General features: G+C 52.2%; 1 protein-coding gene across 1 annotated transcript in view, besides 1 other annotated feature; it reads left to right on the top strand.

The window, feature by feature from the left end:
- Positions 1-20,598, top strand: part of XRCC1 (X-ray repair cross complementing 1) — a 32,217-nt gene that overhangs the window by 11,332 nt on the left and 287 nt on the right. Inside the window, exons 3-16 of the mRNA NM_006297.3 lie at positions 3,176-3,286; positions 9,392-9,550; positions 10,513-10,587; positions 10,684-10,795; positions 11,105-11,214; positions 11,288-11,399; positions 11,921-12,179; positions 12,509-12,625; positions 17,219-17,312; positions 17,469-17,601; positions 18,090-18,144; positions 18,239-18,378; positions 19,962-20,052; positions 20,509-20,584. Coding sequence (NP_006288.2) covers positions 3,176-3,286; positions 9,392-9,550; positions 10,513-10,587; positions 10,684-10,795; positions 11,105-11,214; positions 11,288-11,399; positions 11,921-12,179; positions 12,509-12,625; positions 17,219-17,312; positions 17,469-17,601; positions 18,090-18,144; positions 18,239-18,378; positions 19,962-20,052; positions 20,509-20,584 — 1,644 coding nt within the window. The remainder of the gene's footprint in view (positions 1-3,175; positions 3,287-9,391; positions 9,551-10,512; positions 10,588-10,683; positions 10,796-11,104; positions 11,215-11,287; positions 11,400-11,920; positions 12,180-12,508; positions 12,626-17,218; positions 17,313-17,468; positions 17,602-18,089; positions 18,145-18,238; positions 18,379-19,961; positions 20,053-20,508; positions 20,585-20,598) is intronic.
- Positions 611-1,111: an enhancer, noted in NCBI's record as "H3K4me1 hESC enhancer chr19:44067237-44067737 (GRCh37/hg19 assembly coordinates)". NCBI's record gives its function as "activates a minimal SCP1, AML or CMV promoter by ChIP-STARR-seq in naive H9 embryonic stem cells {active_cell/tissue: H9 hESC(naive)}" and the evidence as "EXISTENCE:reporter gene assay evidence [ECO:0000049][PMID:30033119]".

The following is a 20,598-nucleotide window of genomic DNA, read 5'->3' as shown; positions in this document are numbered from 1 at the left end:
TTCGCAGCTGACATTTATGTAGTGTTTGCTCGGTGCCAGGCAGTATTCCAGGCACTTGGTATGTTATTTCTCATTCTTGGTATGGATTTGAATGTTCTCAACAACTTTATGAGATAGACGTTGTTATTGTCCCCATTTCATAGGTTCGAAAACTGAGGCACAAGGGGTGAAATGAAACCATTTGCTCCAGGATCACACAGCAGGAAATCAGCAGAGCTGGGAAGGACCAGACACTGTTCTTGGCCTTGGGGACACAGTAGGGAACAACTCAGACGATACTGTCCTTGCTCTTGTGGAGCTTAAAAGTCTGGCGGGAGAGACAGATGCTAGACAAATACAAACAAAAAAGATGTAACTGTGTAACACCAGGCAGTAATCATGAAGAAAAGTAAAGTCGGGTAGGGAGATAGAGAGTGGCACCAGGTAGGGGGCGAGGTAGGTTACTTATGGTCTGAAGTGACATCTGAGTGGGCACCTGAAGCACAGAAGGCAAACTTTTACCCAGCTATGGATATGTTTGAGGGAAGAGTGGTCTAGGCAGGGGGATTGGCAGGTGCAGAGGCCCTGAGGTGGGAAGGAGCCAGACTGTTCTTGGCACAGAAGGGAGGCCGTTGTGGCTGGTGGAAAGTCACCAAGCCTGGCCTGGGGAGCAGTCAGACTGGGACTTCTTGTTATTGTTGTTTTTGTTGTTGTTGTTGTTTTTGAGACAGAGTCTCACTCCATCGCCCAAGCTGGAGTGCAGTGGCACAATCTCGGCTCACTGCAACCTCTGCCTCCCGGGTTCAAGTGATTCTCCTGCCTCAGCCTCCCCAGTATCTGGGATTACAGGCGCTCACCACCATGCCCGGCTAATTTTAATTTTCATATTTTTAGTAGAGACAGGGTTTCACCATGTTGGCCAGGCTAGTCTCAAACTCCTGACCTCAAGCGATTCACCTGTCTCAGCCTCCCAAAGTGCTGGTATTACGGGTGTGAGCCACCACACCTGGCCCAGACTGGGACATCTCATGAGCCCAGGCAGCACTGTACACTGCCCAGGGCCCAGGGCTGGGAATGGCGGTGGAGGCAGGGGAGTCAGCAGGAGGTCTGCCGGCCTCAGCCTTAGGCAGGCCCTTCCTCCAGCACCATCTTCCTCCTCTAGCACGTCAGTGGTGTGATGGAGGAGCACGCGTGGACTGTTGCCAGCCTGCCTGGGTTCCGGTCCGGCTTTGCCACCCACCAGCTGTGAAGTTACATAACCACTTCCTGCCTCCGTTTGCTCATGTGTAAGATGGAGATAATTATAGCAACTGCCTGGCAGAGCCATTGCAGGAGAGTAGATACATGTATTATTAGCAGGAGTCTGGCACACCAGGAGCGCTCAGTGCACTCGGATGTTGGCCGCAGTTGTGGTTATAGTTGTTAATTCTGTGTCATCTCAACTTCCTTCAGAGGGAGGGTAAGTTTTTTTTTGAAGACAAGGTCTCATCACTCTGTCGCCCAGAGTACAGTGATGCGAACATGACTCACTGCAGCCTTGACCTCCCCAGGCTCACGCGATCCTCCTTCCTCAGCCTCCTGAGTAGCTGGGACCACAGGTATGTGCCACCATGCCTTGCTAATTTTTGTAATTTTTGTAGAGACAAGGTCTGGCTATGTTGCCCAGGCTGGTCTTGAACTCCCAGCCTCAAGTGATCCTCCCACCCCAGCCTCCCAAAGTGCTGGTTATAGAGACGTGAGCCACTGCGCCTGGCCAAGGAGGGAGGGTTGTTAATGACCATCTTCCCTTTTTGCATGTGAGGAAACTGCCTCACAGAGACGTTGAATACGTCACCCAAGGTTGTGCAGGTTGGAAATGGCATTGCTGTATTTGAGCCCAGGCCTACCTCACCCCAAGTCCAGGCTCCCTCCTTCCATACAGTGGTGTTCCTGTTGATAGCAGTGTGCAGGTGATGTCTAGATGATCTGACAGGGAGGCAACAGAGCAGATTGGAGCATCTGTCATCACCAGGGGTGGGAGAGGGCAGTGTAGGGTGGACTAGGTACCTTGGTTTTTTTTTTTTTTTTTTTTGTGACAGAGTCTCGCTCTGTCACCCAGGCTGGAGTGCAGTGGCATGATCTCTGCTTACTGAAACCTCTGCCTCCTAGGTTCAAGAGATTCTTGTGCCTCAGCCTCTTGAAGAGCTGGGACTACAGGCATGTGTCACCATGCCCGGCTATATTTTATATTTTTAGTAGAGAAGGGGTTTTGCCATGTTGGCCAGGCTGGCCTCAAGTGGTCCACTGCCTTGGCCTCGCAGAGTGCTGGATTTACAGGCTTGAGCCACTGCACCTGGCCCAGGTACCTTTGAGAGTTGTAATAATGCGTCATTCTAGGATCCTAATAAAAGAGCCCCAAACTGGAAGGCAGGACACTTGCCTCAACCTAACTGCCTCCCGTGCCCGCATGGCCCGCACGGCTTTCTGCATCTTCATCTGTCAGACAGGAATGGCAGATCCTTTGAGATGAGCCCTCCTATAGGTAGCTCTTTTCTTCTTTCAACAAATAGTTGTCTAGCACTGACTAATAATACCTCCTGACTGACAGCAGATAATTGCCTACTCTTCGCCATGCCCTGTGGCCATTATTTATGTGCATGATCCTAGATATGGTGGTCATTCCCATTTTACAGATGAGAAAACTGAGGCTCCAAAAGGTTAACTGGTATGGTCATACAGCTAGTGTGCAGCACAGCTGGGATTCAAACCCAGGAACCAGCGGTGAGCAAGATCGGACAAAGCCCCTGCCCTCAGGGAGGTTTCCTGGAGTCCTCTGCGATTGTGGGTGAGGGGTGACATGTGCTGTTTGTCTGCATGATGATTTGAATAAAGTTATAACTCTGGCAAGTGCTTATCAAGGAGAGCTCTATGGCAGTGTGTGATAAGCTGACCTGGTGGAGTCTGGAGAGGTCAGGGAAGCAGGTATGTGTGAGGTGGGCGCGTATGCATTCATTCAGTGACTATTTTGTGAGTTTCTGCTCCATGCCATACCCTGTGCTGCATGGAGGGGACACATGGCACCATTCAACCCTGGTGTGCCCCCTCACAGAATTGACATTACAGGGACATGGTGATCCAAAGGAGATTCATCCTGAGGTCCCACAGTGAGCCCAGAGGCAGAGCAGGCACTGACAGTGGCCTCTCTCTCTGCCCACAGTTGGAGAAGGAGGAGCAGATACACAGTGTGGACATTGGGAATGATGGCTCAGCTTTCGTGGAGGTGCTGGTGGGCAGTTCAGCTGGAGGCGCTGGGGAGCAAGACTATGAGGTAAGCAGGGCTATGAGATGGATCCCATACTGACCTCTGCCCCTCATGCTCGCATCACCGTCTCCCCCAGGGGCTGGGGCTGGGAAGACATGGGGCAGATGTGAGTCACACCTGATTGCTGCCCTCTGGAGGATCACCCAGTGTACGGAGGAGACAGAAGGCAGACACAGGGCGGTAAACTGCACATCAGGGAAGAGAGCAAGTTTGGATCATGGCTTAAAATGACACAAATGTATTATTCGACTGTTCTGGAGGTCAGAAGTCTGAAATCACTCTCACTGGGCTAAAATCTAGGTGTAGGCAGAGCCCTGTTCCTTCTGGAGGCTCTAGGGGAGAATCCATTTCCTTGCCTATTTCAGCTTCTAGAGTCCATCTGCCCTCCTCAGCTTGTGACCCTTCCTTCATCAAAGCCAGCACTCCTGTCACTCTAACGCCTGCTTCCACTTCCATTGTTACTTCTCCAACTCTGACTCTCTTGCCTTCTTTTTTTCTTTTTCTTTTTTTTTTTTTGAGACGGAGTCTCGCTCTGTCGCCCAGGCTGGAGTGAGTGCACTGGCGCGATCTCAGCTCCTTGCAACCTCTGCCTCCCGGGTTCAAGCTATTCTTCTGCCTCAGCCTCCCGAGTTGCTGGGACTACAGGTGCCCACCACCACGCCCGGCTAACTTTTTTTTTTTGTATTTTTAGTAGAGACGGGGTTTCACCATATTGGCCAGGCTGGTCTCGAACTCCTGACCTCGTCATCTGCCCGCCTCAGCCTCCCAAAGTGCTGGGATTACAGGCGTGAGCCACTGCGCCTGGCCTTCTTTTTCTTTTGTTCATTTTTTTTTGAGACAGGGTTTCATTTCCGTTGCCCAGGCTGGAGTACAGTGGCGTGTTCTCAGCTCACTGCAACTTCTGCCTCTGAGGTTCAAGTGATTCTCCCACCTCAGCCTCCCAAGTAGCCAGGGCTACAGGTGCACACCACCACTCCTGGCTAGCTTTTGTTATTTTTTATAGAGAGAGGGTTTCACTGTGTTGCCCAGGCTGGTCTCAAACTCCTGGGCTCAAGTGATCCACCCACCCCAGCCTCCCAAAGTGCTAGGATTACAGGCATGAGCCACCACACCCAGCCCTCCTTTCTTATAAAGACCCTTATGATGACACTTGGCCTACCCGGATAATCCAGGGGCATCTCCCCCATTTCAACATCTTCAAGTTCATCACATCTGCAAAGTGCCTTCTGCCACATTTCCAGGTTCAGGGATTAGGATGTAAACATCTTTGAGGAGCTGTTATTCTGCCTGTCTCCTATGTTTTCTTCTAGAAGCTTTCTATTTTTAGATTTTACATTTAGATCTCTGTTTCATCTCAAGTGAATTTTTGTGTATTGTGTGAAGCAGGGGATAAGGTTTATTTTTTCTGTATCTTTTTTTTTTTTTTTTTTTTTTTTGAGATGGAGTCTCACTCTGTTGCCCAGGCTGGAGTGCAGTGGCGCGATCTCGGCTCACTGCAAGCTCCACCTCCCGGGTTCACGCCATTCTGCCTCAGCCTCCGGAGTAGCTGGGACTACAGGCACGTGCCACCATGCCCGGCTAATTTTTTGTATTTTTAGTAGAGACAGGGTTTCACTGTGTTAGCCAGGATGGTCTCGATCTCCTGACCTTGTGATCTGCCCACCTTAGCCTCCCAAAGTGCTGGGATTACAGGTGTGAGCCACCGCACCCGGCCCTTTTCTGTATCTTTTTTATATGTTTGTTGACAATGCTTATTTATTTATTTTATTTATTTTAAGACAGAGTCTCACTCTGTTGGCCAGGCTGGAGTGCAGTGGCATGATCTTGGCTCACTGCAACCTCCGCTTCCCAGACTCAAGGGATTCTCCAGCCTCAGCCTCCTGAGTAGCTGGGACTATAGGTGTGAGCCGCCATACCCGGCTAATTTTTTAAAAAATTTTTTGTAGAAATGGGGTTTCACTACATTGCCTGGCTGGTCTTGAACTCCTGAGCTTAAAGTGATCCTCCCACCTTGGCCTCCCAAAGTATTGGGATTACAGACCTGAGCCACTGCACCTGGCTGAAAATACTTTGAAAAAAAAAAAAAGACTTGCCTTTTCTCATTGAATCATTTTGACTCCTTGTTGAGAATTAATTAACCATATGTATGGGTTTATTTCTGTACTCTCTTCTCTGTTCCATTGATATGTATAGTTTTCTTTATGCCAATACCAAACTGTCTCTTTTTTTAACCATATTATTTATTTATGTATATATGTATTTATTTATTTATTTATTTATTTATTTGAGATGGGGGTCTCACTCTGTTGCTCAGGTTGGAGTACAGTGGCATGATCTCAGCTCACTGCAACCTCTGCCTCCTGGGCTCAAGTGATCCTCCCGCCTCAGCCCCCCAAGTAGCTAGTGGGAGCCATCATGCCCGGCTAATTTTTAAATATTTTTTGTAGAAATAGGGTTTCACTGTGTTGCCCAGGCTGGTCTTGAACTCCTGAGGTCAGGTGATCCACCTGCTGCGGCCTCCCAAAGTGCTAGGATTACACATGTGAGCTGCTGTGTGTACCTGGCCTACTCTTTTTTTTTTGAAACGAGGTCTCACTTTGTCACCCAGGCTGGAGTGCAGTGGCACGATCTCAGCTCACTGCAGCCTTGTCCTCCCGGGTTCAAGTGATCCTCCTTCCACAGCCCCTCAAGTAGCTGGGACTACAGGCTTGCACCACCATGCCCAACTTTGCACTAGTCAGTGTGACAAGGTGAGAAAAAGAAAAAAGAAAACTATCTTTTTTCACAGATGGCATGATTGTCTATGCAGAAAATCCCAAGAGATCTAGACAAACTACAAGGTTTAGTAAGTGAAGGTCACAAGATGAGAAGTCAATATACAAAATAAACTGTATATTACACATCACTTCTGTGGTATTCTGGCCAAAGTGTGCAACCTAAATTAATCACAAGGAAACATCAGATACTTTGTACAATAAGTGATATCTGACAAAAATCACTGACCTCTACTCTTCAAAAACATCAAAGGCACAAACCCAAAGTCACAGGAGCCTTCCTTCCTTCCATTCTCCCTCCCCTCCTTCCCTCCCTCCTTCCTTTTTTTTTTTTTTTTTTTTTTTTTTTGAGATGGAATTTTGCTCCTGTTGCCCAGGCTGGAGTGCAGTGGTGCAATCTCGGTTCACTGCAACCTCCGCCTCCCAGGTACAAACGATTCTCCATCTTAGCCTCCCAAGTAGCTCGGATTACAGGCCTGTGCCACCATGCATGGCTATTTTTTTTGTATTTAGTAGGACAGGGTTTTCCCATGTTAGTCACCAGATGATAAATGCAGCTTCCCTGTCAGCTCCAAATCAGGCCTTTTATAAACAAGTATAGTCAAGGTCAGGAAGAAAACTTCCCTTCTGTATAATTGTCTTTCTTGTTTCCTTTGCATAATCAGCTGTGCACAAAGAGAGCTATAGTTATGTTCTGTTTTTCTCAGCAAAAGGCTTTATTGTCCAATTTTATAATTTCACAGCATGTCAGTTAGAAAAGAGACTAAGTCAGTAACAAAATATACCCAACCAAAAGTGGCTGCATTCATCTTTTTTTTTTTTTTTTTTTTTTTTGAGACGGAGTCTCGCTCTATTGCCAGGCTGGAGTGCAGTGGCGCAATCTTGGCTCACTGCAACCTCCGCCTCCTGGGTTCAAGTGATTCTCCTGCCTCAGCCTCCCGAGTAGCTGGGACTACAGGCACGCGCCACCATGCCCAGCTAATTTTTTTGTATTTTTAGTAGAGATGGGGTTTCACTATGTTGGCCAGGATGGTCTCGATCTCCTGACCTCGTGATTTGCCTGCTTTGGCCTCCCAAAGTGCTGGGATTACAGGTGTGAGCCACTGTGCCCAGTCTTTTTGTTTCGTTTTTTGTTTTTTGGCAGAGTCTTGCTCCGTCACCCAGGCTGGAATGCAGTGGCACAATCTCGGCTCACCATCACCTCCAACTCCTGGGTTCAAGCGATTCTTGTGCCTCAGCCTCTCGAGTAGCTGGGATTATAGGTGCCTACCACCATGTCCAGCTAATTTTTGTATTTTTAGTAAAGACGGTGTTTCACCATGTTGGCTAGGCTGGTCTTGAACTCCTGGCCTCTTGTCCACCAGGCTTAAGTGCAATGGTGCGATCTCAGCTCACTGCAACCTCCGCCTCCTGGGTTCAAGCAATTCTCGTGCCTCAGCCTCCCGAGTAGCTGGGACAACAGGCGTCTGCCACCATGCCTGGCTTAAATTTTGTATTTTTAGTAGAGATGGGGTTTTACCATGTTGGCCAGGCTGGTATTGAACTCCTAACCTCAAATGATCCGCCTGCCTTGGCCTCCCAAAGTGCTGGGATTACAGGCGTGAGCCACCGCGCCTGGCCTCAGCTTGGGTTTTTCAATGCAGATTGCTAACATGAATTGCTACTCTCAATTCCTTGAGAGAACAGACTTGTGAGGAGTTCTCCCGAGAAGAATTTTCACCTCTTCTTTGGTGTCCCCCCAAGCTAAGGCCAAGACAGACAGGCCTCCCAGGGACTCTTTCCACAGGCTTATTTCCCCTTCATGTAACTAGTGTGGGCGTTGCCTTTGGGGAGTCCTCAGTTCTATGCAGTGTGGTGAGGATCTCTGAGATGCCACTCTCCCTTGCTTGGAGCCTAGGTTTTCTCTCTTGTTCTCTTTCACCACCACGTGCATAACCCTTAAAGATCAAGTTCTAGCTGGGTGTGGTGGCTTACACTTGTACTTCTATAGCTTTGGGAGGCTGAGGTGAGAGGATCATTTGAGGCCAGGAGTTCAGGACCAGCCTGGGCAACATAGCAAGACCATGCCTCTACAAAAAATAAAAAATTAGCCAGGTGTGGTGTCGTGCATCTCTAGACCCAGCTACTCAGAGGCCAAGGTGGGAGAATCACTTGAGACCCAGAGGTCGAGGCTGCAGTGAGCTATGATCGCACCACTGTGCTCCAGCCTGGGTGACAGAGAAAGACCCTGTCTCTTAAAAAAATAATAATAATAAATAAAATCAAGTTATTTGCTATCTGGGATCAGCACCATGACAAACTACCAACATGAGTGCTGCCGGGTCAGTCAGGGTCCTTGCCCGGAGATTAAAACCACACCAGTTATTTTAACAGATAATTTGATAGAAAGAACCAGTAACTAGGTGTTACTAGAAGACTAAGATATGAGGGAGAAGCAACCGCAGGGAGTAGCTACCACTCCCAGGGTTGGGGGAACAAAAGAAAGGAGCAGGAATTATTGAAACGTAGATGTTTGGAAACTGGGAGGTGGGGCTCCAGGAGCTGAAATTCAGATCGTTTGAGGAGGGCTTCCTCCCCCACCGGCTGCTGAGAGGGGCTGAATGAGGCTGTTTCTGGAGGTATTGGGACACTGCAAACTGGATTCATCTGCTGCTGCAGGCAGGAACCACTGCAGCAGCAGAAGCTTAACTGGGGGTGATGCTCACAGGATCTGCAATGCACGAGAAGCTGGTCCTTCCTCCCTCCTGCAGCCTTGCAAACTCTCTCTCTTGCCCCCCCTATTGGCAGAGCCTGGTCACGATCAGCTAGGGAAGCAGAAAGGTGGTTTGCCAAGTGCGGGCCCAGATCACAGAGATGAGTTGTAGAGGGTAGGTTTGAGCTGAGAAACAATCACTTAATACTTAGTGCAGCTCGCCTGACTCTCTGGATTCTGTTTTCTCATTTCCAGCCTCTAGTAATTCCCCTTGCCTTTCCGCTGACTCACCTGTGCATTTCCAAAAGGTGTTTGAATATTGTGCCAGTTTACTGAATATTCTCTGCCGGGAAAGTTCCTTAGGACATGTAGCCCGCTGTATTGCCAGATATGGAAGACTCCATGGGAGAATTTAGATAAGGGTCGCTCACATCTGGAGGATAAAGAGATCCCTCTGGGGCCTGTGTCAGGGCAGGACTGACTCAAGGCCTAGAAACAAAGGGTCTGGAGACATCTAGGCCCAAGCTACATTCTAGTGACTCCCAGTCCCCTGTGTGGGCCCTGTGCCCTCTTCCCCAGCCCCTAGAAGCTCTCATCTAAGCCAACCTGCCCTGGTTCTCATGCACTGTGGCTTCTCCCACCCAGGTCCTTCTGGTCACCTCATCTTTCATGTCCCCTTCCGAGAGCCGCAGTGGCTCAAACCCCAACCGCGTTCGCATGTTTGGGCCTGACAAGCTGGTCCGGGCAGCCGCCGAGAAGCGCTGGGACCGGGTCAAAATTGTTTGCAGCCAGCCCTACAGCAAGGTACCTAGGGTGGGAGCCAGGGTGCAGAGTCCTTGGTCCTGGGCAAGGAGGGAAATAAGGGCCAATATTGAGTCCCATAGGGCTGGGAGGAGTAGACAGCTGGTGTCCCATGGGATTATGGGGAGGCTGGGTCCCTGCGTTCCCTGAAATGGGTTTGGGATCTTTCCTGTAATGAGAAGTTTCATCTCCCGGAGGAATCTAGGAAGGGTGAACTGCAGCATCTCAGAGGGGAATCGGAGGAGGGGAACTGACTTGTTAGAGAGGTGGCCTAGTAGAGTGGGCCTAGTAGTTAACATCAGGAGATCTGGCGTCTGATTACTGAGTTCACGTCCTGGCTATACCACTTTTTAGCTGTGTGATCTTGGGCAAGTGACTTACGCTCTCTGGGCCTCCATTGCCTGATCCTTACAGGGTTGCTGTAGGTTAAGGGATGCTAAAAGCTGTGGTAACAGTGAGACTGGAGTATGTGATGATGCCACACACTAAAGGTGTGCTTCTTGCCCAGGTAACTGTCCTGGGGAGTGTTTAGCCTGTCAGCTGGCTTCTCCTTATGAGGTCGTGCAGGGACCCAGACTTCTCCTATTTTCTGGCTCTGCATCCAGCTGGCAGAGGAGAGAGCCTGGAACACTTCTGTGTTCTGGAAGTGGCACGCAGCACTCCCTCCCATTCCACAGGCAGGAGTTTGTGCATAGGGCAGTGAATTCGCTGGGACACCTAGTAGACTCTGCCAATTGCCCAAAGAGCTAATGCGTGAAAAGGGCTTGGAGCCAGACTCAGAGTTAGGGCTCAGTCATAACAGCTTAATCCTATAATTGTCATCACCATCGCCAGGGCCCCTCCTTCAACATGGGTGTTCATGAGAGGGAAGGAGCCAGGAAGAGGTTTCCCTGAGTGAAAAGGGTCTTGGGCCCTGGCCTCTGTCCTTGGGCCAGACTCCCTGACTCCCACCCCTCCTTTCCCAGGACTCCCCCTTTGGCTTGAGTTTTGTACGGTTTCATAGCCCCCCAGACAAAGATGAGGCAGAGGCCCCGTCCCAGGTAAGCTGTACCTGTCACTCCCCATGGCCTTCTCCCTGCCTCTCCACCCCCACCTGCCAGCAGCCCACCTATAATACTGACCTTGCGGGACCTTAGAAGGTGACAGTGACCAAGCTTGGCCAGTTCCGTGTGAAGGAGGAGGATGAGAGCGCCAACTCTCTGAGGCCGGGGGCTCTCTTCTTCAGCCGGATCAACAAGACATCCCCAGGTGAGCTCGGACAACGTGGGTCCTGAGTGAGTAGGGTTGAGACCTAGACTCGTGGGTCTGAGGGTAGAGGGGGCTGGGGCTCAGATTCCTGGGTCTGAGGGAGGAGGGTAGTGGAGTCCTGGACTCCTGGGTCTCAGGGTGGAGGAAGGTGGGCCTGGCCTCTTGTGTCCTGAGGGTTGAGAGGTCTGGAGGCTGGGACTCCTGGATCACTGGTGGGTTTTGGCAACAATATTCTGTGTCCCATAGATAGGAGTGAAAGGGTCTTGGGGCTCAGCCCTCTCATCCTGGATCCACTTTCTCCCTTCATAGTCACAGCCAGCGACCCAGCAGGACCTAGCTATGCAGCTGCTACCCTCCAGGCTTCTAGTGCTGCCTCCTCAGCCTCTCCAGTCTCCAGGGCCATAGGCAGCACCTCCAAGGTGAAATCATCAGACTTTGGTGGGGTGGAGGAGGAGAGAAGCTGGAGGCCTCAATCCATCCCCATCCCCTCAGCCCCAGGAGTCTCCCAAAGGGAAGAGGAAGTTGGATTTGAACCAAGAAGAAAAGAAGACCCCCAGCAAACCACCAGCCCAGCTGTCGCCATCTGTTCCCAAGAGACCTAAATGTGAGCTAACTAGATCCCTTGTTTCCACAGGGGCCTGTGCTCCTGTGTCCTAGGGGAAGCGGGGCTGGAGCCTGCTGTCCTGAATCTGAGGGAGGAAGGGCTGGGGGCCTGGACCCCTGGGTCTGAGGGAGGAGGGGCTGGGGGCCTGGATTCCTGAATCCGAGGGAGGAGGGGCTGAGGGCCTAAACCCCTGGGTCTGAGGGAGGAGGGGCTGGGAGCCTGGACCCCTGGGTCTGAGAGAGGAGGGGTTGGGGGCCTGGATCCCTGGGTCTGAGGGAGGAGGGGCTGGGGGCCTGGACTCCTGGGCCTGAGGGAGGAGGGGCTGGGGGCCTGGACTCCTGGGTCTGAGGGAGGAGGGGCTGGGGGCCTGGACCCCTGGGTCTGAGGGGGGAGGGGCTGGGGCCTGGATTGCTGGGTCTGAGGGAGGAGGGTCTGGGGCCTGGACTGCTGGGTCTGAGGGAGGAGGGGCTGGGGGTTGACCCCCAGTGGTGCTAACCTAATCTACTCTTTGTCTTCTCCAGTGCCAGCTCCAACTCGTACCCCAGCCACAGCCCCAGTCCCTGCCCGAGCACAGGGGGCAGTGACAGGCAAACCCCGAGGAGAAGGCACCGAGCCCAGACGACCCCGAGCTGGCCCAGAGGAGCTGGGGAAGATCCTTCAGGGTGTGGTAGTGGTGCTGAGTGGCTTCCAGAACCCCTTCCGCTCCGAGCTGCGAGATAAGGCCCTAGAGCTTGGGGCCAAGTATCGGCCAGACTGGACCCGGGACAGCACGCACCTCATGTAGGCTTGCGCCCCCCTCCCTGCGCCGCTGCAGTTTCTCCCCCAGCTCCCTGTGTCTCCTCCACCTTGTGCTTTCTCTGTGTCCACTATGCTGCATGCTTTCTCTCTCTCTCACTTGCTTTCTTTCTCACTGCATTCTGTAGCCTTTGTCTTCTCTCTGATTTTTGCATCTCTCCCTTGGTCTCCAACCTCTTTTTGTTTCTCCCACCTCAATCTCATGATCTGTCTGTCTGTCTGTCTCTCTCTCTCTCTGTCTGTCTCCCCTGTCTCGTTCCCCTTTGCCCCTCAGATCACACCTAACTGGCATCTTCACTTCTGCCCCCCACCAGCTGTGCCTTTGCCAACACCCCCAAGTACAGCCAGGTCCTAGGCCTGGGAGGCCGCATCGTGCGTAAGGAGTGGGTGCTGGACTGTCACCGCATGCGTCGGCGGCTGCCCTCCCAGAGGTAAGGCCTCACACGCCAACCCTGCTCCTTATCCTGTGCTGGGCAATGCCAGGAATCTGGAGGGGAGTCAGACTGGGGCCTGCCAGCGGAGAACACAGGTGGTCCCAGCCCAGAGCCAGCAGACTACTGAGAGGAGCGGGGCAGGGGCTGGGGTACTCCAGATGAGGGAAGGAGGACCTGCCTGGGAGGTCACAGAGGGCTCTGTGAAGCCTGCTTATCAGAAAAGGCTGGAGGAGCAGTTTGTGCAAAAACTCAGGGGTGGGAGAACAAGTGTTAGGGTCCATATTCATTCATTCAAAGTGAGTCCCGGTGCAGTGGCTCACGCCTGTAATCCCAGCACTCTGGGAGGCTGAGGCAGGTGGATCACTTGAGGTCAGAAGTTCGAGACCAGCCTGGCCAACATGGTGAAACCCCATCTCTACTAAAAACACAAAAATTAGCTGGGCTTGGTGGCGCACGCCTGTAATCCCAGTTACTCGGAAGGCTGAGGCAGGAGAATCGCTTGAACCTGGAAGCCAAAATCGTGCCACTGCACTCTGGCCTGGGTGACAGAGCGAGACTCCCATCTCAACAAGAAAAAAAAAACCCAAAAACCAAAATGAGTCCCAGAAGCCCCTGCTTGGTGCCAGGCTGGAATGTGCAAGGCTGAGGATCCAGTCATTGAGCCCTGCCCTTGAAGGCTTCTCACTTTGATGAGGGATCAGAATTGTTGTAACAGTGCAGTGGAAGCCCCACAGGGTGGCCCGCAGAGAGCGAGGGGTCTTCAAGGTCCAAGAGAGGTTTTTCAGGCTGAACAGAGGCAGAGAACATGCTGGGCAGAGGAGACAAGGTCAGGTCAGCCTGTTGTCTGCCTGGAGTTGTAGGTGAGGCTGAGCTTACACAGGGGCAAGAAGTGGCAGGAAAAATGGGACTGGGGCATTAGGAACCACAGAAGGCTTTGGACTGAGCAAAGGCTAGCTCATATCTGAGGTCCATGAATTGGAGGGGAGACTGGATTGTACTCCATGGCCTGAGTGTGTTCAGAAGTTAGTTGTACCTGGTGTATTTGAGAAATTATTTGCCTTGGGGGATAGCGAGGCTGTGAGGTGGGTGGGCTCAGGTCAGAAGGGGCTTCCGGAGCCCAGGCTACACACTGGGCTCCATGCAGCTTCACAGAACCCTCATCTGTTATTCAGGAATCCAAACATCTCTAGAAGCTGAAAGTTCTTTTCTAGGTTCAGCACAAACTCATTTCGCTGCAGTCATCCTGAACTAATGTGAGGCTATTTGCGGACTTTTTTTTTTTTATCCCCTTAAGTGTGTCATGGTCTTAACTGCAGAAATATTAGTGGGTTTGATCATGGGGTGCTCCCCCAGGCCCTCCTGGGAGTTTATGTAACAATCTGTATGCCAGCCATTTGCCTCTCTAAAACCTGAAAGATTCAAAATTCTGAAGCCCATCCAGCTCCAGAGGCCTCCTCTTGTGAGCAGAGGGGAGTCACAGAAGGTTTGATGGGGGCAGGGGCAGGCTCTGTTGGGAGGGATGAAGTGTCAAGGGGAGGCTGCAGGTGGGGACTCCTGAGTAGGCTGGGGCCTCAGGAACAGAAGAGGGGATGGGCTGGTGCTATATCTGGGGCAGAAGGAACCAGATTTGGGTTATTATCTGCCTGGGAGAGCTTAAGGAGGGCATGAAAGAAAGGGAAAAAGACAAACAGTGTTGGATTTGCAACTGGTCTTAACAAAAAGAATTCACAAAGCATTTTATATTTTTAAAAATTCTGGCTTGTACTCATTTATAAACTAAAAAAAAATAACTATATGATGCAGGCAACGTGGTGAGACCCCATCCCTACAAAACATGAAAAAAATTATCCAGGTGTGGTGGCACATACCTGTAGTCGTAGATACTTGGGAGGCTGAGGTGGTAGGATCACTTGAGCCCAGGAGGTTCAGGCTGCAATGAGCCATGATTGCACCGCTGCACTCCAGTCTAGGTGGCAAATCAAGACCTTATCTCAAAAATAAAAATTTGGCTGAGTGCAGTGGCTCACGCCTGTAATCCCAGCACTTTGGGAGGCCAAGGTGGGCAGATCACGTGACATCAGGAGTTTGAGACCAGCCTGGCCAACATGGTAAAACCCCATCTGTACCAAAAAATACAAAAATTAGCTGGGCATGGTGGCGCACACCTGTAGCCCCAGCTACTCTAGAGGCTGAGGCAGGAGAATCCCTTGAACCTGGGAGGAAGGGGTTGAAGTGAGTCGAGATCATGCCACTGCACTCCAGCCTGGGGACAGAGCGAGACTCTGTCTCAAAAAATAAAAATAAAATAAAAATTCAACTATAGAAGGAAGACCCCAAGAGGATGACTCTCCATACCTAATAAGCACAAATTTAGTTTTTTTTTTAATCTTTGAATAGAGCACTTTGAAGAAAAAGTTAAGTAAACCTGCTATTGACTGTTAATGAACTACTACATTTTAAATCCTCTGAATCTCCTGTAGGCACCGTTTTATGAGTGTGACTTACCTAAACAGCATTTCACCAGCTTGAAAACAACCAAATTAAATGCAGAAGGGTCTTAACATGTATGTCTCAGAAAAATGGAGCTAATACATTCATTTGTGTCTGCATACCTTCCCTGTGGCTTAGGGCAGATTAAATAATCTCTCTGTGCCTTAGTCTCCTCACCTGTAAAATGGGGCCAAAAATAGGACCTACCCCAGGATTCAGTGACTCAGTATTTGTCACGTGCTACCTGGCATGTAGGAAGTCCCATGTAAGTGTCAACCTGCTACTGTTGTGTTTTTTTTTTTTTTTTTTTTGATCATTCTTGGGTGTTTCTCACAGAGGGGGATTTGGCAGGGTCATAGGACAATAGTGAAGGGAAGGTCAGCAGATAAACAAGTGAACAAAGGTCTCTGGCTTTCCTAGGCAGAGGACCCTGCGGCCTTCCGCAGTGTTTGTGTCCCTGGGTACTTGAGATTAGGGAGTGGTGATGACTCTTAATGAGCATGCTGCCTTCAAGCATCTGTTTAACAAAGCACATCTTGCACCGCCCTTAATCCATTTAACCCTGAGTGGACACAACACATGTTTCAGAGAGCACAGGGTTGAGGGTAAGGTCATAGATTAACAGCATCCCAAGGCAGAAGAATTTTTCTTAGTACAGAACAAAATGAAGTCTCCCATGTCTACTTCTTTCTACACAGACACAGCAACAATCTGATTTCTCTATCTTTTCCCCACCTTTCCCCCTTTTCTATTCCACAAAACCGCCATCGTCATCATGGCCCGTTCTCAATGAGCTGTTGGGTACACCTCCCAGACGGGGTGGTGGCCAGGCAGAGGGGCTCCTCACTTCCCAGAAGGGGCGGCCGGGCAGAGGCGCCCCCCACCTCCCGGACGGGGCGGCGGCCGGGCGGAGGCGCCCCCCACCTCCCTCCTGGAGGGGCGGCTGGCCGGGCGGGGGCTGACCCCCCCACCTCCCTCCCGGATGGGGCGGCTGGCCCCCCACCTCCCCCCCGACGGGGCGGCTGGCCCCCCACCTCCCTCCCGGACGGGAACCTGCTACTGTTGTTAGAGCTAGGAAAATCCTTTTCCTGGAATGTTAGTGGCTTAAGGAACCATGATTATAGTGTTGTAGTCTTTAAAATGTGTTTGCTTTGAGATTTTCCCCTTAAATGGTGGGTATTTTCCTAATGAGAAACTGCCTTTGATTCTTAAAGGAGAAAGTTCTGATTTTTCATTCCTTTCTGAATTGAGACATTTCTTCCCCAAGAGGGAGGGGAATTCTGGGTACTGTGGTTCATGCCTGTAATCCCAGCACTTTGGGAGGCTGAGGTGGGTGGATCACTCGAGGTCAGGAGTTCGAGACCATCCTGGCCAACGTGATGAAACCTCGTATGTACTTAAAAAACAAAACAACACAAAAAACACAAAATTAGCCAGGCGTGGTGGCACATGCCTGTAATCGCAGTTACTGGGGAGGCTGAGGCAGGAGACTCGCTCGAACCCTGGGAGGTGGAGGTTGCAGTGAGCCAAGATCACGCCACTGCACTCTATCCTGGGTGACAGAGTGAGATCTTGTCTAAAAAAAAAAAAAAGCGGCCAGGAGTGGTGGCTAACGCCTGTAATTCCAGCACTTTCAGAGGCTGACGGGGGCAGAGCATGAGGTCAGGAGATCGAGACCATCCTGGCCAACATGGTGAAACCGTGTCTCTACTAAAATACAAAAAGTTGGCGGGGCATGGTGGTGTGCACCTGTAATCCCAGCTACTAGGGAGGCTGAGGCAGGGGAGTCGCTCGAACCTGGAGGCAGAGATTGCAGTGAGCCGAGATGAGGCCACTGCACTCCAGCCTGGCGATGGAATGGACTCTGTCTCAAAAAAAAAAAGAGGGAGGGGAAGAAAGGGGGTACCCAGGTCTGCAGGGCAGGTGGCCAGACTGACTGGGTTCACTGGGGCCTTCCTGAGCTGGGAGAGAATGGGCTGGGAACAAGACCATGAGGCCCACTAGAGTGAGTATTTTAGTAAATGCCAATGGCTGTTGCCTCCTGAACGCCCTCCCCACTTCCCTTGGGCCTGTTTGTCTGAGGCCCGATTTGTCCCCTAGGTACCTCATGGCAGGGCCAGGTTCCAGCAGTGAGGAGGATGAGGCCTCTCACAGCGGTGGCAGCGGAGATGAAGCCCCCAAGCTTCCTCAGAAGGTCTGATGCCCCCTGTCCAGTGGGGGAGGGTGTAGTGGGAGGATGACATGAGTCCGCTGTGGCACCCCAAACTTCCCACTCTTGCCTCTTGCAGGTACCCCCCCAACACACCCACACTGTTCCTGCCCTCCTCACCCACCCACTCTCCCTCCTTAGCAACCCCAGACCAAAACCAAGCCCACTCAGGCAGCTGGACCCAGCTCACCCCAGAAGCCCCCAACCCCTGAAGAGACCAAAGCAGCCTCACCAGTGCTCCAGGAAGATATAGACATTGAGGGGGTACAGTCAGGTCAGACTCTGAGGGAGGAGGGGCTGGGGCCTGGGCTCCTGAGTCTGAGGGAGGAGGGCCTGCGGCCTGGGCTCCTGAGTCTGAGGGAGGAGGGGCTGGGGCCTGGACTCCTGAGTCTGAGGGAAGAGAGCCTGGGGACCTGGACTCCTGGGTCTGAGGGATGAGGGGCTGGGGGCCTGGACTCCTGGGTCTGAGGGAGGAGGGGCTGGGGGCCTGGGCTTCTGGGTCTGAGGGAGGAGGGGCTGGGGGCTGGACTCCTGTGTCTGAGGGAGGAAGGGCTGAGTCCTGGACTCCTGGGTCTGAGGGAGGAGGGGCTGGGGCCTGGACTCCTGGATCAGAGGGAGGAGGGGCTGGGGGCCCAGACGACTGGATCTGGAGGGCAGTTGAGGCTGGGGGCATGAGATGCCTGGGTCTGTGCCATACTGGGAGAGCTGCCAGTCTTCCCAGGAGACAAGGCAGCCTTGCATTGACTGAGCTTCTACTTGCAGAAGGACAGGACAATGGGGCGGAAGATTCTGGGGACACAGAGGATGAGCTGAGGAGGTAGGGCTGGGGCTGGGGGTTGGGGTGTCCCTGGCCTTGGGTGTAGGGGAGGCTGCTCTGCATGCTCACTCTCTACTCCTCTTGGCACCCCCAGGGTGGCAGAGCAGAAGGAACACAGACTGCCCCCTGGCCAGGAGGAGAATGGGGAAGACCCGTATGCAGGCTCCACGGATGAGAACACGGACAGTGAGGAACACCAGGAGCCTCCTGATCTGCCAGTCCCTGAGCTCCCAGGTGGGAAATCCCCCCATCCCTCCTGAAGTGGCATTTTCTCTTCTCAGTTCTCAGCTGGGACTTGCCCTGGCCAGCCCTGGGGTCACTGCTGCCCCCGTGTCTTGCCTCCCCTCTCCTTCCTCAACCCACTCCCTGCCTCAGCACCTTCAGGTTCTGCCAGGCTTGTTCCTTTCCTTTCAGCATCCTCTCTGTGACTTGCCTTTTTCTCCCCTCCAGATTTCTTGTTCTGACCACTCCCCTCGCAGCCATGTGCCAGGTGTGACCTCCTTTTTTTCACGTCAGGGGTGAGGGCCCCACCCTCATGCTAGTGCTTCACTTGCTCAGGTGCCGTTCTGTTGGTCTGGGGTGAAGCCGGGCACACCAGGTGACAGGGGCACTGCTCTCTGTCAGGCCCTGGGTGGGTGCACACCAGTGTCTGCTTTAACATCAGCCATCACTCTGGACGTGGATGCTGTCTGCACACATTGTGTGTTTGCATTTCCAGTGTAAAAGAATAAGAACAAAAGGAAATGGGGAAACTCTGCAGGGAGTTGTGGGATGAGGGGCAGGGAGGCAGAGCTTCTTCGAGAATGAAGGGAGCAGAGGAAAGACAGTCACGGGCTGTGCAGAGGTGTGGTTCTGGGGCTTCCAGAAGAGCCGTTTCCACCCAGTTCCTCGTGGGTGATGGGCAGGAAGATGCTTTGATTCTCCCAAGCCCCTAAAGTGGCATCAGCAAATTGATGGCCTAGAGAGTCACCTTAAAATGGAAAGAAGGAGCCACCCCAAAGGTCAGAACAAGAAAGGCACTGGTTGGAAAGGAGAGCAAAGGTGAAGAAGTGGCAGATACTGACGTTTTCAGCCTGGACTAAGCTCATTAAGTGGCTCCAGGCAGGCCAGGCGTGGTGGCTCACCCCGTACTTTGAGAGGCCGAGGTGGGAGGACTGCTTGAGTCCAAGAGTTCAAGACCAGCCTGGGCAACATAGTGAGACCCCCCCCGACCCCCGCCTTTACAAAACATTTTAAAAATTAGCCGAGCGTGGTGGTGTGCTACTCAGTAGTCCTGGCTACTCAGGAGGCTGAGGTGGGAGGATTGCTTGAGCCCAAGAGTTTGAGACCAGCCTGAGCAACATGTCAATACCCCGTCTCTCTACAAAAAGTTTAAAAATTAGTCTGGCTTGGTGGCATGCACCTGTAGTCCCAGCTACTGGGGAGGCTGAGATGGGAGAATCACTTGAGCCCAGGAGGCAGAGGTTGCAGTGAGGCAAGATCACGCCACTGCACTCCAGCCTGGGCGACAGAGTGAGTCCTTGTCTTAAAAAAAAAAAAGAGAGAGAGAGAGGTAAGTGGCTCCAGCCTGTCGGTCAGAAACAAATCACAATAATAGGCATTGTATCTTCTACCATTAAAGCAAACCAACCAACCAACCAACCTACCTCCCCAGGAGGCTCTGATGGGCCGCTGGGCAGGGTCCACTGCCTGCCATCAATCCCTGCCCACATGTGGACAGCCCTCTCCTCAGCTGCTGGGTCAGCCTCGTCACTCCTGTTTGGTGCCTGGGAACTCCTGGGGCCTCATGCTTACCTTAGCCCCCTTCTCTCCTGCAGATTTCTTCCAGGGCAAGCACTTCTTTCTTTACGGGGAGTTCCCTGGGGACGAGCGGCGGAAACTCATCCGATACGTCACAGCCTTCAATGGGTGAGTCTCCAGGGACTGGGGTGGGGAAGGGGTGATGGATCCAAGGGAACGCTCAGGGACCTGCTGGGAGGGGTGGGGGTGTGGGAAAGAAGACCATCAGGAGGATGGAGAAGGGCCATGCCCAGCAGGTGGGCACAGGTCATGGAATCCGAATGCTAGCTTGCCCACCACCGGCAGCCCAGGGTGCATTGCTTGCCTCAGTTTCCTCTTCTGTATGGCGAGGATCCCTACCCCTACCCCTGCTTCTGAAAGGGACAGCCTGAGGATTAGCCACTGTGGGAGCTCTGGTCATTGTGGCTGTGGCAAGATGGATACATGAAAGAATGGAGCCTAGAGGCAACCTAGAGGCGCATAGGTGGGGACAGTGTGGGGACAGCCATTGAGAGTGGCTGGGGAGTAGGACGTCAGTGCTGATTCCCTGATGTGCCTTCTACCTCTTTTCTTCTCTCCCGCCAGGGAGCTCGAGGACTATATGAGTGACCGGGTTCAGTTTGTGATCACAGCACAGGAATGGGATCCCAGCTTTGAGGAGGTGAGTACCAAAGA

This window comes from Homo sapiens, chromosome 19 (assembly GCF_000001405.40).
Source record: "Homo sapiens chromosome 19, GRCh38.p14 Primary Assembly".
Taxonomy (NCBI): Eukaryota; Metazoa; Chordata; class Mammalia; order Primates; family Hominidae; genus Homo; species Homo sapiens.
This window is presented reverse-complemented; position numbering and strand designations above follow the sequence as displayed.